General features: G+C 41.3%; 1 protein-coding gene and 1 long non-coding RNA gene across 5 annotated transcripts in view, besides 2 other annotated features; one reads left to right on the top strand and one right to left on the bottom strand.

Moving 5' to 3' along the window:
* The window catches only part of LNX1 (ligand of numb-protein X 1), a 193,177-nt gene that overhangs the window by 41,770 nt on the left and 130,330 nt on the right, over positions 1-21,077 (top strand). For 3 of the 4 annotated variants that reach the window (NM_001126328.3, XM_024454262.2, XM_047416328.1), the window contains exon 1: positions 19,222-19,320. The exons of the other annotated variant lie outside the window; for it this stretch is intronic. The gene's annotated coding sequence lies outside the window, so the exon portion shown is untranslated. Of the gene's footprint in view, positions 1-19,221; positions 19,321-21,077 lie in introns of those variants that run through there. 4 annotated transcript variants of the gene reach the window in all.
* Positions 5,326-17,752, bottom strand: LNX1-AS2 (LNX1 antisense RNA 2). The gene is made up of 2 exons (NR_046827.1): positions 17,636-17,752; positions 5,326-7,171 (listed from the first exon to the last, which is right to left on the bottom strand). It is a non-coding gene; the product is annotated as an LNX1 antisense RNA 2 (long non-coding RNA).
* Positions 8,691-9,190: an enhancer, noted in NCBI's record as "H3K4me1 hESC enhancer chr4:54467685-54468184 (GRCh37/hg19 assembly coordinates)". NCBI's record gives its function as "activates a minimal SCP1, AML or CMV promoter by ChIP-STARR-seq in naive and primed H9 embryonic stem cells {active_cell/tissue: H9 hESC(naive and primed)}" and the evidence as "EXISTENCE:reporter gene assay evidence [ECO:0000049][PMID:30033119]".
* Positions 17,130-18,042: an enhancer, noted in NCBI's record as "NANOG-H3K27ac-H3K4me1 hESC enhancer chr4:54458833-54459745 (GRCh37/hg19 assembly coordinates)". NCBI's record gives its function as "activates a minimal SCP1, AML or CMV promoter by ChIP-STARR-seq in naive and primed H9 embryonic stem cells {active_cell/tissue: H9 hESC(naive and primed)}" and the evidence as "EXISTENCE:reporter gene assay evidence [ECO:0000049][PMID:30033119]".

The following is a 21,077-nucleotide window of genomic DNA, read 5'->3' as shown; positions in this document are numbered from 1 at the left end:
AGACGGGAGTCTTGCTCTGTCGCCCAGGCTGGAGTACAGTGGTGCGATCTCGGCTCACTGCAGGCTCTGCCTCCCGGGTTCACGCCATTCTCCTGCCTCAGCCTCGCGAGCAGCTGGGACTACAGGTGCCCACCACCACGCCCGGCTAATTTTTTTGTATTTTTAGTAGAGACAGGGTTTCACCGTGTTAGCCAGGATGGTCTCGATCTCCTGACCTCGTGATCCGCCCACCTCGGCCTCCCAAAGTGCTGGGATTACAGGCTTGAGCCACCGCAGCATTTTAACTACAAAATTTTTCATATATAGTTTTCACAGAATCCTAGAGTATGTTATAAAGTTCGACCTTTCATGGCTTTTAAGATGGTCAATAATTTCCCTTTCAACTTTTGGAACCAATTATTTTCTAAGTATTTTTAAATTTTCAAGTAGTCAACTTTTTGTTACCTTTTGATAATTTTTTCTTATTTATTGAATTATGATCAGATAATGTTAACTATAAAATCATTACTCTGAATTTGCTCAAGTTTTCTTTGTAGTCAGGTACCTGATCAGTCTCTATAAATGTTCTGCGGACATATGAAAAACAATAAAAATACTTTAGATCAGGAATATGGAGGTTTATTTATTTACTGTGTTGGGAAGCAGCGTGACACAGAGGTTAAAAGTAAAGACTTTAGAGAAAATGTCCATTTTCAAATCTTGACTTTACCATTTCACCTTGAGCACACTTATAAAATGTGAACAATAACAGTGTCTAACTCACATGGTTGTGAGCATTAAATGATTTACTATTCATAAAGTATTTATAATAAAAATTATATGCTATATAGTTATATATAATGCTATCTAAATTACATGATTTATTTATATAGCATTATGTAGAAATTTTATATTGATGTTATTTATATTTTATATTTAAATAATATATTATATATAATATATAATAGTATATTATATATAATATATAATAGTATATTATATATTGTACTATATATTATAATAGTACTATAATAGTATTATAATAGTACTATAATAGTATAATAGTACTATAATAGTATTATAAATAGTATAATTATATATACTATTTATAACATATAGTATAACATATAATATATAATTATATATACTATATATTATTTTATATATTATTTATACATAAATTATAAATTTATGAATTTTAAATGCTATAAAATTTCCGTATAAATAAAAATATGTCAATTCCTTTTTTCTTTCTACAGAACTTTCCAATACAGTTCAAAGAGATATATTTAGCTAATACTAGTTTTTTGGTGTTTTTGGCAATGGTTTATGGGTTAAAACATATTGTTCTGGTACTATTTTCTTTTTAATTAAATTTTAAATTTTTAAAGTGATATATTTTAAAACATAGTTCTTAAACACTTTTTTCTCTTTAGATTTCCTTTTTTTTTTACTTTTAGTTTAGGTTCAGGGGTACATGTGCATATTTGTTACATAGGTAAATTGCATGTCACAGGGGTTTTGTATACAGATGATTTTTCCAGCCAGGTAATAAACATCGGGAGTCCTTTCCCCATTGCTTGTTTTTGTCAACTTTGTTGAGCATCAGATAGTTGTAGGAGTGAAGCATTATTTCTGGTTCTCTATTCTGTTCTGTTGGTCTATGTGTCTGTTTTTGTACCAGTACCACGCTGTTTTGGTTATTGTAGCCTTGTAGTATGGTTTGAAGTTGGGTATTCTGATTCTCACCCTCCTCCCTTTCTCCACCCTCACATAGGCCTTGATGTCTGTTGTTCCCTTCTTTGTGTACACACGTACTCAATATTTAGCTTCCACTTATAAGTGAGAACGTGTGGTATTTGGTTTTCTGTTCTTGTATTAGTCACTTAGGATAATGGCCTCCAGCTCTCTCCATGTTGTTGCAAAGAACATGATCTCATTCTTTTTATGGCTGCATAGTATTCTGTGGTGAATATGCACCACATTTTTTTTATCCATTCTACCGTTGATGGGCATTTAGGTTGTTTCCTTGTCTTTGCTACTGTGAACAGTGCTGCAATTAACATACATGTGCATGTCTTTGTGGTAGAAAAATTTATATTCCTTCTGGTATATACCCAAAAATGGGATTGTTGGGTCGAATGGTAATCCTGCTTTGAATTCTGTGAGAAATCTCCACACTGCTTTCCACGGTGGCTGAACTAATTTACCTTCCCACCAGCAGTGTATAAGCGTTTACTTTTCTCCACAACCTTACCAGCTTCTGCTATTTTTGACTTTTTACTAATAGCCATTCTGACTGGTGTGAGATGGTATCACATTGTGGCTTTGATTTGCATTTCTCTGTAATCAGTGATGTTGAACAATTTTTCATGTGATTGTTGACTGCTTGTATGTCTTCTTTTAAAAAGTGCATGTTCATTTATTTTGCCTACTTTTTAATGTGGTTGTTTTTTACTTGTTGTTTTGTCAAAGTTCCTCATAGATTCTGGATATTAGACATTTGTAGGATGCACAGTTTACAAATATTTTCTCCCATACTGTAGGCTGTCTGTTTACTCTGTTGATCACTTCTTTTGCTGTGTAGATGCTCATTAGTTTAACTAGGTCCCATGTGTCAATTTTTGTTTTTGTTGCAATTGCTTATGGCATCTTCTTAATGAAATCTTTGCCATACCCTGTGTCCAGAATGGCATTTCCTAGGTTTTCTCCCAGGGTTTTTAAAGTTTTAGGTTTTATATTTAAGTTCTTAATTCATCTTGAGCTGATTTTTGTATATGGTGTAAGAAATGGGTACTGTTTCAATCTTCCGCATCTGGCTAGCCAGTTATCCCAGCACCATTTTTTGAATAGGGAGTCCTTTCCCCATTGCTTGTTTTTGTTGACTTTGTTGAAGATCAGATGGTTTTAAATGTGCAACATTACTTCTGGGCTGTCTGTTCTGTTGGTCTATGTGTCTGTTTTTGTACCAGTACCATGCTGTTTGGCTATTATGGCCTTGTACTATAGTTTGAAGTTGGGTAATATGATGCCTCCAGCTTTGTTCTTTTTGCTTAGGATTGCCTTGGCTATTTGGGCTCTTTTTTAGTTCCCTGTGAATTTTAAAATAAATCACCATTAGCTTTTTCTAATGCTGTGAAGAATGTCATTAGTAGTTTGATAGGAATAACATTGAATCTGTAAACTGCTTTGGGCAGTATGGCCATTTTAACAATATTGATTCTTCCTATCTATGAACATGGAATGCTTTTCCATTTGTTTGCGTCATCTCTGATTTCTTTGAGCAATGTTTTGTAATTCTCATTGTAGAGATTGTTCCCCTCCCTGGTTAGCTATATTCCTAGGTATTTTATCTTTTCGTGACCATCGTGAATGAGATTGCATTCTCAATTTGGCTCTCAGCTTGGATGTCATTGGTGTATACAAAATGCTAGTGATTTTTGTACATTGATTTTGTACCCTGAAACTTTGCTAAGTTGTTTATCAGATCAGTGAGCTTTTAGGCAAAGACTATGGAATTTTCTAGGTGTAGAATCATATCATCTGCAAACAGGGATAGTTCGACTTCCTCTCTTTCTATTTGGATGCCTTTCCTTACTTTCTTTCTCTTGCCTGACTGCTCTAGCCAGGACTTCCAGTACTGTGTTGAATAGGAGTGGTGAGAGAAGGCATCCTTGTCTTGTGCAGGTTTTCAAACGGAATGCTTCCAGTTTATGCCCATTCAGTATGATGTTGACTGTGGGTTTGTAATAGGTGGCTATTATTATTTTGAAGTATGTTCCTTCAATGCCCAGTTTGTTGAGGGTTTTTAACATGAAGGGATGTTGAATTTTATCAGAAGCCTTTTCTGCACCTATTGAGATAATCATGTGGGTTTTTGTCTTTAGTTATGTTTATGTGATGAATTACATTTATTGATTTGTGTATGTTGAAGCAACCTTGCATCCCAGGGATGAAGCCTACTTGATCATGGTAGATAAGCTTTTTGATCTGCTGCTAGATTCAGTTTGCCAGTATTTTATTGAGGATTTTTGCATTGATGTTCATCAAAGATATTGGCCTGAAGTTTTCTTTTTTTATTGTATGTCTGCCAGGTTTTGATATCAGGATGATACCAAATAGAATGAGTTAGGGAGTCCCTCCTTTAATTTTTTGGAATAGTTTCAGTAGGAGTGGTACCAGCTCTTCTTTATACATCCAGTAGAATTTGGCTGTGAATCTGTCTTGTTCTGTTTTTTTTTTGTTTGTTTTTTGTTTGTTTGTTTGTTTTTTCTGGTTGGTAGGCTTTTTGTTACTGATTCAGTTTCAGAACTCATTACTGGTCTGCTCAGGGATTCAATTTCTTCTTGGTTCAATCTTGGGAGGTTGTATGTTTCCAGGGATCTAGCCATTTCCTCTAGGTTTCCTAGCTTGTGTGCATAGAGGTGTTCATAATAATTTCTGAGGGTTTTTTATATTTCTGTGGGGTCAGTGATAATATCCCCTTTGTCATTTCTGATTGTGTTTATTTGGAACTTCTCCCTTTTTTTCTTTATTAGTCTACCTAGTGGTCTATCTATCTTTCAAAAAAGAAACTTCTGGATGTGTTGGGTTTGTGTATGGTTTTTCCCAGTTTCCTTCGGTTCAGCTCTGATTTTGATTATTTCCTGTCTTCTGCTAACTGTGTGTCGGTTTGCTCTTGTTTATCTAGTTCCTCCACTTGTGATAAAGACAAGGAATGATAAGAATTGGCAAGGGTATAATGGTTCCTTAAAAAAATAAAAATAGAACTACCACATGACCCAGCAATCCCTCTTCTGGGAAACGGAATCACCAGCTGATATCTGGTGATTGCTGCATTCCCATGTTGTTGATTGCAGCATGATTCATAATAGCCAAGCTATGAAAACAACCAAAGTGTCCATTGATAGATGATGGATAAAGAGATTATAGTTCATATGTACAATGGAATATTATTCAGCTGTTAAAAAGGAGATCCTCTCATTTGTGACAACATGGAGGAACCTAGAGGACATTATGCTAGGTAAAATAAGTCAGACAAGAAAAATACTGCGTGATTTCACTTATATATGGAATTTTAAAAAAAACATGAATACAGAGAAACAGAGTATAATGATGGTTACCAGGTGTGGGGGTGAGAGGACAGGGTTATGTAGGCCAAGGATACAAAGTTGTAGTTATATAGAGTGGATAAGTCTAGAGATCTAAAGTACAGCATGCAGATTATAGTTACAAATATTGTATTGTATACTGGAAATTTACTGGGAACATATTTAGGTACTTTACCCCCCACCCCCATACACGCATACACAAGGTAGTTACCATGTAAGATGATGCATACGTTAATTTGCTTGACTAGTAATCACTTTAATAAAATATACATCAAAACATCACATTATACACCTTAAATTTGTACAATGTTTAAAGACGATAACACACTAAAATTTCTTTTTAAGTATTTTAATCATCTGTTGCAGTAGATTGTATTTTCCAAAATGGCTACCATACAACACAATTCCCATTCCACATGCTCTTCAATGTGACTTTGCCAGTCCCCATCCAGAGGTAGAATCTATTTCTCCATCCCTTTTCATCTGGGTGGGCCTTGTAACTCCTTTGACCACGAGAACATGGGAGAAGTGGTGCTATGCCAGTTCTAGGCATAGCCCTTAACTGAGCTGGCAGCTTCCACTTCACTATGCTAATGCGGACTCCAAGTCTTGCTATGGTTTTGTAATCCAGGTGTCCTGAAATTCCCTGGTGACTTTGCAAATCACCCGGGTTGTGAGGAGTGATGTTGTTTCATCACTCATTTACATTTTACTTGCCCTGGAATTCTATACATATACAGCTTCATGTTTCCAGTTTTCTGCCCCTGCAGCCTCTTTTCTTGAGAAAGGTGGCCTGTGACCTGTCTTCCCCACCCAAGAGGCTCAGCTCCAATCCAAACACAAGCACAAATCCTTAGTCTTAGAAATATACCTTCTAGTTCATTATATGAGAAACAAATTAGTCTGTCTCTGACTTTGGACTGATATTCATAATTCATTTTTGGTTGCAAGAAACAAATGAAGAAACAAACGAATTGAGCCTAAGAATATTCCAGATATCAGATATCCCCCTGCACAGCCTTTGGACATCTAGTTAAACCTGGCCTGAATGCCAGTACCACAACCCATAAGAATTCGGAGCCCTCATTATAATTTCTGTAAGTTCCTGGGCTACTTCCTCTTGCTTCTTCCTGCATCCATAATCCCACATTGGCATAGGCTCTGCCAGTTCTGCTTTTTATCCAACTGGCTTTTAAGTCTAGAGAATTCATCACTTTTCTCCAAACATTCCCTTTGCCCCAAGCATTTGTGAGTATAAGGACTTGAATAACAGGTCACTTCTCTTTGGTCTCAGTTCATTTTTAACTCAAACATTCTCTATCCAGCTTAAGGAGAACATATTATGCTTGTGATAAATGAATATACAAGCTTTAGGTGCTAATATATTTCTAGTGGGGCAGCAGGGAAAGAGTAATACAAATTGTCTTCTACGAAGGGTAGAACAAAAATCAGCAGTTTGGCAACTTCAAATTGTCATCAATTTGATTAAATCACCCTCCATCCCACTACCATCTACAGGAATTATTAATAGATATGGTGACCTTAGGTTGCGGTGGAATGACTATCAGAAATCAATTGCTTTCCATTTATGAAACCATCACCAAATATTCTAGGCAATATGATAGCCCATGTAACAGTAGGTGGTTTTCAAAATATTTAATAATTGGTATAGCATAAAATATTTAATAATCAGTAGAGGCACCAACCTATCAGAACAGACTCTGACCAGTCAGAACAGATGTCAGGAGTCAATTGCTGGTACAGCCCCGATATAGTCTGGATATTTGTCCCCACCCAAATCTCATGTTGAAATGTAATCTCCAGTGTCGGAGTTGGGGCCTGGTGGGAGGTGATTAGATCATGGGGGCAGATTTCTCATGAATGATTTAGCACCATCCCCAAGGTACTGTCCTCGCAATAGTGAGTTCTTGCAAGACGTGGTTTAAAACCTCTCCCCGCGCCTCTCTTGCTCCTGCTCTTGCTATGTGATACATGGGTTCCCCTTTGCCTTCTGCCATGATTGGAAGCTTCCTGAGGCCTCATCAGAAGCTGAGCAGATGCCGGGCATCATCCTTTACAGCCTGCAGAATCATGAAGCAATTAAACCTCTTTTATTAATTAAGCAGTCACAGATATTTCCTTATACCAATGCAAGAACGGCCTAACACAAGCTCCATGGTGGACACCAGCTGCATATCCACCCTGCCTATAACCCAGCTCTGCTAATTCACATCACTTTTTACCCCAATCCTTTTCTCTTTCTCTTCCCAAATTGATTTTGTCCATTTGTGTGTTTATTTAATGAAGATGTTATTGAGTTTCCCCATGAGCTAGGAACCATGAATATGAAAATGAGTAGGTCCTCACATGCAGTGAGGAGTCGGCTCCCAAGGAAGCCCTGCAACCACCCTGGAGTCCTCCATGGCCCCACGGCCAGCACAACCAGGGCTGATTTATTTGCTGCCTTAATACAGTGACACTGTGGTGCTCTGGATCCTGGAAAACTGCTTTCCCTGATTATTAGAAACTTTGCCAATCTGAGCATTGATTTTAGAATTTTAGACTTGAAAGGGATCTTTTTAGGGATGAAGGAACTGAGGCCCAGAAAGGTCATAAGATGTCCATGAAACTCACTGTCTCTGTACTTTTGTCCTTGCCTTTTCTAGCTTCAAAAGTGGTCTCAGAGCTTCACATCTACTGTCAGTGCTAAGGCAAACTTGAAAACAGAAGAATTTTTTCAAGGCTTTGAAATTTCTATGCTTTCAGGTATATTTGGCTTGTTTTAAAATAGAGTAAAATGATATGTCATGGATGTACAGACTTTCTGTTTCCTTCACACTGAGCCCAATCCAGGTGATCAGACTGAAGCCTTGTGAACTATCACCCAACACGTGTTTTTCATTCCTTGAAACAATATCCTGATTGCCTTCCCTTGACTTGGGTCCTGTGGACTCCACTCCCCATCTCCTCAGCTACTTCATTAGTTTAGTCACCACGTGTAAAGGCCATTCAAGTGCCCTCACAGACCGCCCATTATAGGAGGTGTCACTGACAAAGGACTCAAGTGGCTGCACTCTAAAAGCCACCCCTGCATTTGCAGCAAGCCACCCTTCAAGGTGCAGCTCCTGGTCAGTGTCAGAGTGACTGAGTGCTGCAGGACCCTAAGACAGGCTTGTTCCTGAAAGTTGGGATTACTCTGACAGCTGATGTTGGCCCAGGTACAGTTCCACCTAACCTTCCCTCCTCTCCTTCACTGGTGTCAGATCGGATGGTGGTCTGACAGCTCTCCCAGCCTTTCTCAGCCTCCATCCCCTGTTGCTCACACAGGTATTTTCCCTAATCAAGTCCCTGCATATTTAATTTCGTCTTGGCATCTGTTGCTTGCAGGACCTAGAATAGATGGTGATGTCAAGGTCACAGATTTGGATCCATCCCCTTATCACTTCGGAGAGTAACTTCATTTTCACTACCTTGGGTTTCTGCACAGACAGATCCTAGTTTCTATTTCTCACTCTGTCCCTATTTCTATCACACCAGTAGAACCATAAGGCTAACTGACAAGAAGCCATTTTTGATGTTTTATGAAATTTCATGGGATCATTTCCAGGGGAGGACAATGGTGCTGACTGGAGAAGTCAGTCACGTGAGCAGGGGTGAGGAGGGTTGGTGGTATAGATTCTACAGAATGGGGTGGTATGCAGAAGAGGGGATGCAGGGCAGGGAGAAACAGCAGTAACCAGTTTGGAGAGTTTGACTTTGAGATGACTGGCAGCTTCAGAGTGACCTGCAGTGACCCCTGGCATGTGGTTCCTTATTCCTTTATCCTGGAGAAGATGCCATCTTGAGATGAGTTGAAAGTAGAGCTGGAGCCTCATAGATCTCCTAGCTTCGAATTCAGATGAGTTGGTGTGTGCAGCTGCCTCTAGGGGGCACAGATGAGGAGGGGACATACCTAGCACAGCTGCTGTCTCTTCTGCCAAACCCCCGCAGCCACATGGCATTGAGGAGTTAGCATCCCAGGGGACAATGGGCTTGCTACCAGGCTCACGCAGTTGTCACAGCTGCTGCGAGTTTATGGGCAGGTGGCCAGAACGCGAACAGTGTTGGTCCAGGTGCAGCCTAATCACTTAGAAGGACTGGCCATCGTGGCAAGACACTTAGTGAGAGTCACCCAATGTGGGGGTGCGAGCATACCCATGGCAGAACTTGTCAAAGCTGCATTTCCTGTCCACCCCCTGGGCAGACTCAGCGAAAGTGGGAGAGGGGTGGACCATGCCACTTCAGGGGGACAGCCACAACTGGAAGGACCAGTCTGGCCACCCTGGGCTGATGGCTGGCACTGATATGGACAAAGACTCAAATTAAGACATCACAAACAAGGAACTTAGGGATCCCCGGTCTAGTTAATAACACTTCTCCTAACTCCTAAACCTCCATATTCATAAAACTGAGTGGAATATATTTAAATACAAAATGCAAGCCTCTTCTCAGATATTTTCCTTCCCTCCCCCCCTCCCTCCCTCCCTTTCTTTCTTTCTTTCTTGCAGAATCTTCCTCTGTCCCCCAGGCTGGAGTGCAGTGGTGCCATCTTGGCTCACTGCAACCTCGGCCTCCCGGGTTCAAGTGATTCTCCTGCTTCAGCCTCCTGAGTAGCTGGGATTACAGGCGCCCACTGCCACGCCTGGCTAAATTTTGTATTTTTAGTAGAGATGGGGTTTCATTAGCCAGGTGTGGTGGTGGGCACCTGTAATCCCAGCTACTCAGGAGGCTGAGGCAGGAAAATCGCTTGAACCCAGGAGCTGGAGGTTGCAGTGAGCCAAGATTGCACCACTGCACTCCAGCCTTGGCAACAGAGCGAGACTCTGTCTCAAAAATTGAAAAAATAAAAATAAAAATAAAAATAAAAAAACAGAGGCCGTCCATCCAGGTTCATGTCCAAGTTAAAAAGGGGTGTCTTCACATGCTCGTGATTTGAGAAAAGTCAAATGAACTTCCCCTATTATTATATTGAGACCCTGTTAGTCGGAATCTGACTGAGAGTCCTTCTCTCTGGTAATAGTGAGTGGTTTTCATGATATTCTCTTTCTTGTATTCTTTAATTTAAGATAAATAAAGGGATGAGCTCCTTGGCCATAATCTGTGTTTTTGAGGGCCTGCCCTTTCTTGGAAGCAAAAGTTCCTGGGAAGGAAAACACTTTCCCACCTAGAAAGTTGGCTTCTCCTGTGCTTCTCGTACCTGAGTAGGCCAGCAAAACAATTCTCCTCTGGCTTTTGCCTTTCCCACTCCATTCCCTACTAGGACTTTTTTTTGTGTGCATGTGTCCTCGAGTCACTTTATGTTACTAGTTATTATGAATTTTCAACCCCTTTGGGAAAAAGTTTGAAGAATTTGGGCTCTTAGAGGACAGAGTACTCTATTGGACAGCATAAAAAACAGCAAGTGCGTGGAGGATTGATGTGAGGAAAATAGTAATTTGCTCCTATCCACTGAGCACTGACTATATAAAAATAGAATTAACAGGGATTTAAATAATACAACACTTAAAAAGCATATGGTATTGGGGAGAGGGGCCTTTTTAAAAAGGTTACTGAGCTGCCAACTCTACCTTAAAGGAATTTTAAATTCATCTAAACAGCTACAGATGTTACTGTCACCTGCTGAGCACAGATCTTTTTCAAGTTCTTCCCAAGGTGCAATGCCAGCCAGCCCTGACTGTGGGCACGAAACTGAGACCATATCTGAAATATACATAGTCTTTCTACCCACTCAGAGCAGCTGCCTCTACATTTGTGCAAATTCTAAAGCTATAAGAGGTATAGGTTTTCTCGGGTGACATACATAGAATCTGAAAGTGTGCTTCAGTCTTGGTTCCCATGAGCCTCCTCTGCCTGGCCCTTCATGGATAAGAGCCAAGATAAGGCTGTGGGGGACCTGGGAAAATCATGGGCTCTATAGTCAACTGGCACTGTTACAGGAAAGGGGTCCCGATCCAGACCCCAAGAGAGGGTTCTTGGATCTTGTGCAAGAAAGAATTCAGGATGAGTCCACAGAGTAAAGTGAAAGCAAGTTTATTAAGAAAGTAGAGGAATAAAAGAACGGCTACTCCATAGACAGAGCAGGCCCAAGGGCTGCTGGTTGCCCATTTTTATGGTTATTTCTTGATATATGCTAAATAAGGGGTGGATTATTCAGGCCTCCCCTTTTTAGACCATATAGGGTAACTTCCTGATGTTGCCGTGGCATTTATAAACCATCATGGCGCTAATGGGAGTGTAGCAGTGAGGACGACCAGAGGTTACTCACATAGCCATCTTGGTTTTGGTGGGTTTTAGCTGGCTTCTTTACTGCAACCTGTTTTATCAGCAAAGTCTTTCTGACCTGTGTCTTGTGCCAATCTTTTATCTCATCCTGTGACTTAGAATGCCATAACTGTCTGGGAATGCAGCCCAATAGGTCTCAGCCTTATTTTACACACCCCCTATTCAAGATGAATTGCCCTGGTTCACATGCCACTCAAATGTTAGCTCTGCAAACTCAGGAAAGTACTTTATAATAACTTGGAGCCTTAAAGTTAGAAGAAACAATCTGGCCTGCTGTCTCATGTAACTGCATCTGTAACACTCCTCTGTTAAGCAATTTCTACCTTACACTTTAATTGTTTGTCCTTAGCTCTGCTTCCTTATTGACTCTAAGTTCCTCAAATGCAGAGATTCTTTCCATCTTTGTCATATTGAAGGTGCTTAATAAATTTGGTGTATAAATAAGTGAATGAATTAATGTCTTCATTATTGTGAATTATTGTGAAAATTAAATGTGATAAAGTTAGCTCCCTTCCCAAAGTGTTCAGGCTTTGACTCTCAAGAAAACGAAGAGATGACTCAAGATGTAACTTAACAACGAGTAAGCCCTCCCTTCCTCCATTCCTTCCCTTGACTTACATTCATCTTTAGTTCTTTAAACTAATATTTATCAAAGGCCTCCTATGTTTCTTCCAGATACCAGGCTAAGTCCTGAGAGTACGTGGAAAGTCACATTCCTTTCCTCGCTGTCTAGAGAGGAAACAGTCTTTAAAAATTACAGTCAGGGCCAGGTGCAGTGGCTCACACCTCTAGTCCTACCATTTTGGGAGGCCAAGGCAGGAGGATCGCTTGGGCCCAGGAGTTCGAGACCAGCCTGGGCAACTAGGCAAGACCCCATCTCTACAAAAAATACAAAAATTTGCTGGGCATGGTGGTGCATGCCTGTAGTCCCAGGTACTTGGGAGGCTGAGGTGGAGAATCCCTTAATCATAAGGAGGTCAAGGCTACAGTAAACCGTGATTGTGCCACTGCACTCCAGCCTGGGCAACAAAGCAAGACCCTGTCTCAAAAAAAAAAAAAAATCACAGTCAGTAAAATAATTGCTGAAGTAGAGTATGTCACGAGTGCAGAACAGGCATCAATATCTGCTTAGGGAAGTCAGGAAGGTCCTATAAAGGAGATGGTATCTGAGCTGAGCCCTGCAGATGGAGGAATAATACTGCCTGGGACTGAATCTCAAGTCTGCCCATAACCAACCAGGCATGTTGGACAAGTTACTTTACCTCGCAGAGACTCAGTCTCTTCACCTGTTTGTAGTTAGTTCATGGGATTTTTTTGCCAGGATTCAGAACATGGGCAAAGAGCATAACATTGATCTAGGCAATGGTTCAACAAATGTGAGAAATAACCATAAAAATGTCCAGTCTGGTTGTTATGAGAACCACAGACAGTCAGGTTTGGGGAGTATTCAAGGAGGACCCCTTTTCCTCACCTAGGTTCAGGATAGTTTGAGAAAATTTTAAAAGAATAATTTTGGAGGCCAAAATATCACCTTTGAAATGACAATGGCTAAATTGGAGAACAAGGTTAGAACAAGGGAAACAAAGCTAGAAGGCACTCAGACTGGGCAGATGTAGGCATGGCAGCCTCCTAGACAGAAATCTGCCCTGGAGAGACTCAGAGTGTGGAGCCACAGACGAAAGCTCTGGCTCACTTTCAAGACAGGAAAGAGAGGTGCAAACCCAAGTTTGCCCTGCTGTCCATTTCCATTTTACCAGTCAAGGACTCCCAGGGACAGAGAGAATGAAGGGTGGAACATGGCCAGAATGTGCTTAGAAAACCAGTTCTCTATGGAAATGGGGGTGAGGGGAGTGCACCCCTCTAACACAGTGTTACTATGGCATGGGGGCTGGCAGGTGGTGGCATTCTGTGCTTGCAAAGGATCAGAGATATGGATAAAGTTTGAAGGCAGACAGGGGCCAGATCATAAAAAGCCTCACAGGCCAGGCAAGGCAAAGGAGCTGAGGGTGAATGACTACTGAAAAGATCAGGAATATCAATTGATGGATTGCCAGGAAGAGGGACTGATCAGGAATATCAATTGATAGTTTGCCAAGGAGAGTGACAAGTGCAGCTAGCATTGCAAAGCATACATAGGTAGAGGCACTCATCTCCAGGCTCGTAGAAAAAGAGGCTGGCAACATGGTTTTGCCAGGTCCTTAGGAAGCTGAAGATGCTGGCAAGGAAGTAGGATCTGGGCTAGATGGACCTAAAGTGAAACTAGTAAGGAACAGATATTCTTGGGCAGCCTCCCGGAGTCCAGGAACCAGACAGTACAGTCCATCCAGAAAGAATGTAAAATTTGAGGAAGGGAATGAAAAATCCGAATGAATAAGAAAATACAGTAGAGAGTTGCATTCTCAGATTTCTTTTGAAATGGGAGATTTTGGGGTGATAACAAGATCTAAGGGGTGATCCTGAGAATGGGTGACTCAATAGAAGTAGAGGGGAATGTCATTGTCATTATAATAGGGGGAAGTCAGGGATGCTGGAGGGGTCATCTACAAGAATGTGGAAGCCTTCAGGATGAAGTCAAAGTTAACAAGGAGAAGAGACATTTTAAATCTGGTATGTGGAACTGGGTCAATTAAAGTAGCCATGTATGAAGGATCCAAGAAAGAACAAAGACATGGCAACCTTCGAAATAGCAACAGCCACCACCAAAAAATTCCCTGGGAATAATCCACCCTGTTTATGCAAGAATGGAGATCATAGAAACATAAAAATATGTGTAATTGTCATAAGATATAGGTCTCGTGACCATTATAAACACAGTAACAATGAAGTTCTTTTTTTCTCCCTACTAAAGAAGAACATGCTGACCACAAATCAGTGTGGTAAACTTTCACAAAATGTGCGCCAACTTCAATAATTGATTTAATGCTAATTTCCCTGAGATACTCTCTCTCTCCCCAAAAGCACACAAACCAGAGAAGTGTTTCCTCCTAAACTGTAGGTCCACAGGTTACCCTAGAAACTCATCTGCAAACCAGGCAACACACAGGTTGTAAGTTTGTGAGAGAAATGGAATATCTTCCATATACACAGAACCAGATGGCATTCTATCACATCAGCTGATGTTTGTGATTATTACTCTTATTTCCCATAATTGCCCTTCTGAGATCTGCTCATCTGCGTTATGCTAAGCACATATAATTAGCCAATAAAAGATATGGAGCTGAGCCCATTTAAAAAAGTAATTACGGCCAATATGATGGTATGTAATGTAATAAGCAAGTCCAAATCATAATGTTAAATACCTTTAGAAGATAGCCAAAGAGGTTTTTGTAGAGATGACTTTTATTAAAGTCAAATGGAATATGTCCATTTTAATTGTGGCATTCAATCATCATAGACAACTCTAGAAATATGTCATGGGAAAAAAAAATAGGAAGCAAAATGGGCAAAGTAATTCTGCTGAATCACAAGGCATGGTCTTCGCTGTAGGTTCATTGCCAGGAGGAGTCCTTGAGAACGCCAAGCTTCATGGGGGGATCTACAAGAAAAGAGCTTTGAAGACAGACCTCCTTCCCCCCTTAGATTTCCCTGTCAAGATATATAAAGGAATTCAAACTAATCAAAAAGCCCAAGTGAGCCGGCTGGTTAACTAGGACAGGCCCAACTTTGAGTTCAGAAAGCTTTCTAATGTTTTCCACCTGCCTATCCAAAGAACAAAGTTTCCAGGATATGTTGACTGCAAAAGAGGCTTGCTCCTAAAGAGAAAGATCATGTGGTTGCCGAAATGGCATATCCTGGAAGTTTAGCTCAATGCTGAAAACCATTGTCATGCATAAGAAATTACCCCATGCCCAAGATACTGAGTTTCTTTTTCTTAAGCTGTTTAATCATCATGAGAAAAGTAGTCAACAGGCATGTGAGGACATGAAGCAGTTAGCCCTTGAGGTTCCCGAGGCTCTTTACAGTCTCAGCCCATCTAAATTTAGCAATCAGTGGATCCTCTTCACCCTAGCAAGGTGGGTATTTCATTGTCTCGTATTCCTCTTCTCCCCCACCACACACATGTTCCTCCCCAACAGATATCTGCTATGATCATTCCTGTTCCACCCATGCCACTGCCCTGTCTGGAATGATCTGTGCCCTCTCACCACCTCTCCAAATCGTTCAAGGCCCAATTCATGTTCCTTTCTTCATGAAATATTCCCCAATGGCACCAGCCAACACCAATATTTTTGCTTCCTGATCAGCCCTCTTCTCTGTCTCACTTACTGTCCAACTAGAGATAGAAAAGGGGACCAAGTGGCTCGCACCTGTAATCCCAGCACTTTGGGAGGCCGAGGTGGGAGGATCACTTGAGGTCAGGAGTTTGAGAACAGCCTGGGCACCATAGTGAGACCTCATCTCTAGAAAAAATTTAAAAACTAGCAGGGCATGGTGGCACGTGCCTGTGGTCCCAGCTACTTGGGAGGCTGAGGTGGGAGGATCACTTGAGCCCAGGAGGTTGGGGCTGCAGTGAGCCATGATGGCACCACTGCACTATAGCTTGGATGACAAAGGGAGAGTTGTCTCTAAAAAAAAAAATTAAAAAAGAAAGAAAGAAAAGAAAGTAAGAAAGTAAAAGAAAAGGGTTTGATCTTGGGGGGTAAAACCAACTGCTAGTGTGCCTGGAGTAATATCTTCAAGATTCCAAAGTTCCTTCTGAGTTGAAAAGTGTCATGGTCTTTAGCAATGACAGTGAGAATGGTATGGGAGGGGGGAATGGAGCACTATATGTCCAGGATTTGCCAAGCCTAGTCTAAACCATTCTTCCTGGTAGTGGTTTATAATGAAACTTAATTTTTCATTGTCTCATATTTTCCAAATGTATGCAGTTCCATGTTCTTATGGCCACTCGGATTAAATTTTCAGATTTTAAAGTGATAGGCCGCAGAAGTTACAGAGAAAAATGACCATAAAAGATGTCATAGAGAGTTACAACTGGTCATTCTTGAGGGGTCCCTCAAGCTGGCCTTCCATCTTGGGGTTGATTTGATAAGCTCTCAAAAGATGATTTCAAGTGTGCACCCAGGGGCGATGGATTTCCTGGTATGATTTCTCATAAATATATGCATGAATTTATGAATATATACATATTTATATATACATATATATATATATATTATACACACACTTTCAGCATATAGACCAGATTACTAATTAATTTCCAAATGGAGACATCCTTTATCAGAAACTACCCTCCCCAGGGCTACTTCTACAGGTTTCTACTTCTCCTTCTGAATAATGGGTAAGAAGCTGAATGTGTCCAGGAAGTGTCCCAGTGAGCATGAAATCAGAACCTTCCCTCTTTTCTTTCCAGTGGTTAAAAAGTGGGCCTTGATTAAAAACTGCTCTGCCGCTTGCCGATGAGCTTGTCCTTAGGCAGTTTCTCAGATTCACTATGTCTTGGTTTTCCCAGCTGTAGAATGCAAATAGCAATGATACCTGACACAGGGTTCTTGTATAAAGTGCTCAGAACAATAAGTAGCACCTGTTAAACACAATGTTCATTTTTATGATTACATTTTTTTCTAGTAGTTTAGAAATATAATTTCCATGATAATGTAACAGCCCTAATGGCCCAAAAAAAAAGCCCATATTATTTTTTTTAACCCCTGCATATTATTCGAAATCCAGGAGTACCAAGAAAGATCTCACCTGAGAAGGCTAATTGTGTAGTTTTTTCTCTTCCTTTATACACTATACCTGGGAGTTAGCTCCACTCCTGGATTAACTCTTATTTCTCTATTTTCTTTCTGTTTTACAACAATTCATCACACCACATATGTAGATGACTGTGTGTATGTGAACATGGCAAGTGAAACCTCACGATCTCCAGGCTGTTCGGTGAAGCTTTATGCGAATTCATTTCACCTACACCCTTCCCCTGCCCACCCAAGGCCTTGAACCGAAGCCTGTGATCCCCTCCCAAGTTGGATCCTGCCCTTCGCCAAAGGCAAGACCGCTGAAGGCGTGGCCTTCTAGATGATTCATCAGGTTGGCGGGCTCTCCCTCCCCTCCCCCTTGCCCAGGGGACACCCTGTCCGCGTGAAGAGGGGGGCCTTTGTGTGAGTGATGTTTCTCAATTATCAAACTAGTGGCGTGAAACCTTTTCCTGAAACACCTGAGTGTAAAAGGTTTTGTTACCTCCCTTTTTTTCTTTTAAATAATAAAGGAATAGCCACACCTACCTTAGTTTCTATTGGATAAAAAGGTGAATAGTTTTGTTGTGGTGGTTGTTGTTGTTTTAAGCCTTCAACTCTCAAAAGGCACAGAGTTCCCAGGTGCAAAGAGGTAGCTTAGACCTGTCTGGGGCGGATCGGGGACAGGAGCCAGCTCCCCTGAGGTCGAGCACCAGAGCCGGCCCCCAGACCCCGCCCTCGACTACAATTTCTCTTCCTTCTCCTCCCCCTTGCTTTGCGAGCTATTGACTGACTGCAGCCAGCTGAGGCCCAGGCTGTGGGAATCCGGACTTCCTTTTCTTCCCTCTCCCATTTTTCCTTCTTCCTCCACCCTCCCCCAAACCAAACCCCAAAACCTCTAGGTAGTCCAATATTAAAACCGGTGGAACAAAAGCATTCCCAAAATCAGGAGGAGGGAAAGAAGAAGACGAGGGAGGCAAAAGTAGGAGGAAAATAGGAATGTCAACATTTATTTTCCTGAAGGGGAAAAAAAATTCTCTCTGGGCAGGCAGGCCATCTTCCGGGACGGGGAATCCACAGTTTCCTCAGGTAATGAGTTCCAGGGATGCTGGATGCAGGTGGTAAAAATACGCAGCGTTTCAATGGGATGATGGGAGATGTTTACAGCCCTCCTGGGAAGATGCCAGAGAGTTTAACAGTCCTGGGATACCTCCCAGCTGCCTGCTCTGGTGCTGGATGAGTTTACGCCTCCTTTCCTGCTGGAAAAGGTGAAGCAACCAGTGACTTGTCCAGGGTCACACACCACGCTTGGGACAGAAATAACTCTGACGTCTCTTTCCTGGCTATATCAGCAGACAACATCGCCTAATGACAGTACTACCATTCCAATCTGAATCATTTAAATTGCTCCTAATTGCAGGCCTGCAGTGCACTGTAACTGCCGTATGACTCTAACTGCCAAGCCAGCCGAGATAGGAATGACTGAAGTTTTGCAAATTCCTGAATATGGAATTAAAAATGCTGGGCGGGGGAGGGGGTAGCGCAAAAGTGTTTGAAAACCACTTTGAAACTGCTGACAGGTATCCTATTTCAAATTGTTTAAAAGATGAATTGGAAATGTCAACTTAAATTTGTCATTTTATTGGAATTAGAGAAACACTTGGTGTTCAAATGGATGCGGTTCGAAAAGGCACCTCAGATATTTCTAAGAAGTTCGGCTTCACACTCTTCCTTTTTGTGTCTGCTAAATTACTGTCTCATTTTGGTGTTTAAACTTCCCTTTTAACTCCTTTGTGGGCAGATATGGGGAAAGGGGAGGGCCTGGGAAACAACCAGGCATTTGACTTCAGATCTGAACACGGGGCTGGACACGTGCTGTGCTCAGGAAAGAAAGTAAATTCCACCTGGCAAATTGCTCTAACTGATTTATTTGTCCACAAAGAGACGCCACCTACCTGCTTGCAGGTATTCAGGTAAATGACAGGTGGGCGGGGCCTCCTGACTCTTTCAATCCCTAAGGTCTCAGCAATGCTTTATCTGTCGGGGCTTCCGTGATGTCACCCATTTCCTGGTCTGGAGCGACCAATGCCGTCCTCCTTCCTCCAGGCACCTGTTCACCGAAGTTGAGGCTGGTCACAACTCCGGCGGCCCAAGGAGCTGCTCGGTTCACCCACAAGGAATGAGAGCTGCCTGCCTGCTGCTGCTTGGAGAGCCCCAGACAGTCGCTTGAAGAGGTGAGTTGAAACCCTCCATTTTTCTCTCTTGGCATTTAGACCACTGGCCCCTGAGGGATCTGAACACGGAATTTGAATGAAAAAATACAAGCTGAACGGCTTGTCGCTAGTGTTTGCCCCAGAGGGAGAAGCTTTTTTGAGACAGAAGAGTAGAGAGATGACTTTGACATTCTAGTTGCACAATAAACTTCTCCCAGGCCAGATATTTAATCCTTTTTGTTTCTCTGATCATTAATCCAGCCTGTGCTTGTCCTCGTACTTGATCTGATTAAAACAACAACAACAACCTAAAGAGAAGTAGAGTGAAGGCTTTTGTTTTGAAACTTAGCGCGAAGGTGCAGATCTGTTCAGCCCGTTTAACGGGGGCTAGGAGGCCAGTGCAGACTGGATTCAGAGTTCTTATTTTTCCTTTTCTTCCTCCCTGTATTTTGATCTAAACCTGTGAAGTGTCCCTAGTTTTTTTTTCTTTCCCCCTGAAAACCTGTTCCTCAGGGCAAATTCTGTTGCCCTATTCAGAAGCTGTGCGTTCCAGTTTTCCTCTCTTCTCTGAAAAAGTCTACCATTTTCTTTGCTCTTTGTTGAACACTCTTTTAAATACGACTTTGCAGTGTGCATTTAGAATTTGTTTACATTTAGACCTGGACTGGCTGCCTGCTGACCTTTGGTTACAGTAAGAATTAATTCCCTCATTGCTGCAAGAATGTGACTTCAGGTCTGATTTTTAATTTTTTGGACCTCTTTGGCTTTTTCTGTCTCTTTTTCTTTTAATAGCAAATATACCGAGGAAGTTGTTCTGCCAGGACCTGGCTTTTAAAGTAATTTTACCTCTAGGATCCATTTTTGTTTTCTTAATCCTGATCACACAGCCTGTATCTTGACAGCCCAATAGTCAAACTCTTTAGCCAATATTGTTGTCAGAGAAAGGAAACCATTTTTAAGCCCAGCTGCCTGCTGGGATGAGCTGGAAAAACTGGAAAAAGAAATAAATCTGCGAGACACTTCATTCTAGATTCCAACATCAGCTGTTTTTCTGAGATTTAAGTTAGCAGATGTTTGCAAGGGAATAATCTGTTAGGAATTATGCTCCTGTTCATCCACCCAGAAATACAAAATGCATGTAAATTCTCCCAAGGTATGAATTGAAACAAGCTGAGATCATTTTTGCCTTAGACAGACAGTCGTTCCTCACCACTAAGAATCTGCCCAGTTCTTGTTGCTAATTTCTGTCTTACTGTTTGGAGGTCCCTATTGTTCTTCCTTAACTGACCTTTGTTTATTATTTTCCCCAAGCTTGTGAGTTTAAGGGGGGGGGTTTGGCCACCACTTGTCTCTTACTAAGGTTCTCACTTGATTCAAAGCTTGGATCTTCTGATAAAAGTGCATCTAAACCTCTCCTCAAGATTACATTGCCTCTGGTTTACCATGGTTGATTAGTGCTTTTCACAGTAGTTAATTTATGATTAAATAAATAATTTCATCACTGTATGTCAGCATGTCTGAGTACTAAAGGAACAAAGCTGTAGACACTGTACCCCCAGGTAGAAGAAAGAAAAGAAGTGACAAAGACTGGAATTCAGAGTCAGATTGACTAGAATGCAGTTGGTCTGTTGGGTAATTTACACACAAGTCCTGTCCAGAGTTCCTGTGGTAACTCCACCCATTGGTTCAAGTGGACATAGGCCTGATGGAAAAATGTGCAATCTCCTTCATTTATATCCTTGAGCAAGTTACTTCTCTGACTTTCAGTTTCTTCATCG

Source organism: Homo sapiens, chromosome 4 (assembly GCF_000001405.40).
Source record: "Homo sapiens chromosome 4, GRCh38.p14 Primary Assembly".
In the NCBI taxonomy this organism is placed as follows: domain Eukaryota; kingdom Metazoa; phylum Chordata; class Mammalia; order Primates; family Hominidae; genus Homo; species Homo sapiens.
This window is presented reverse-complemented; position numbering and strand designations above follow the sequence as displayed.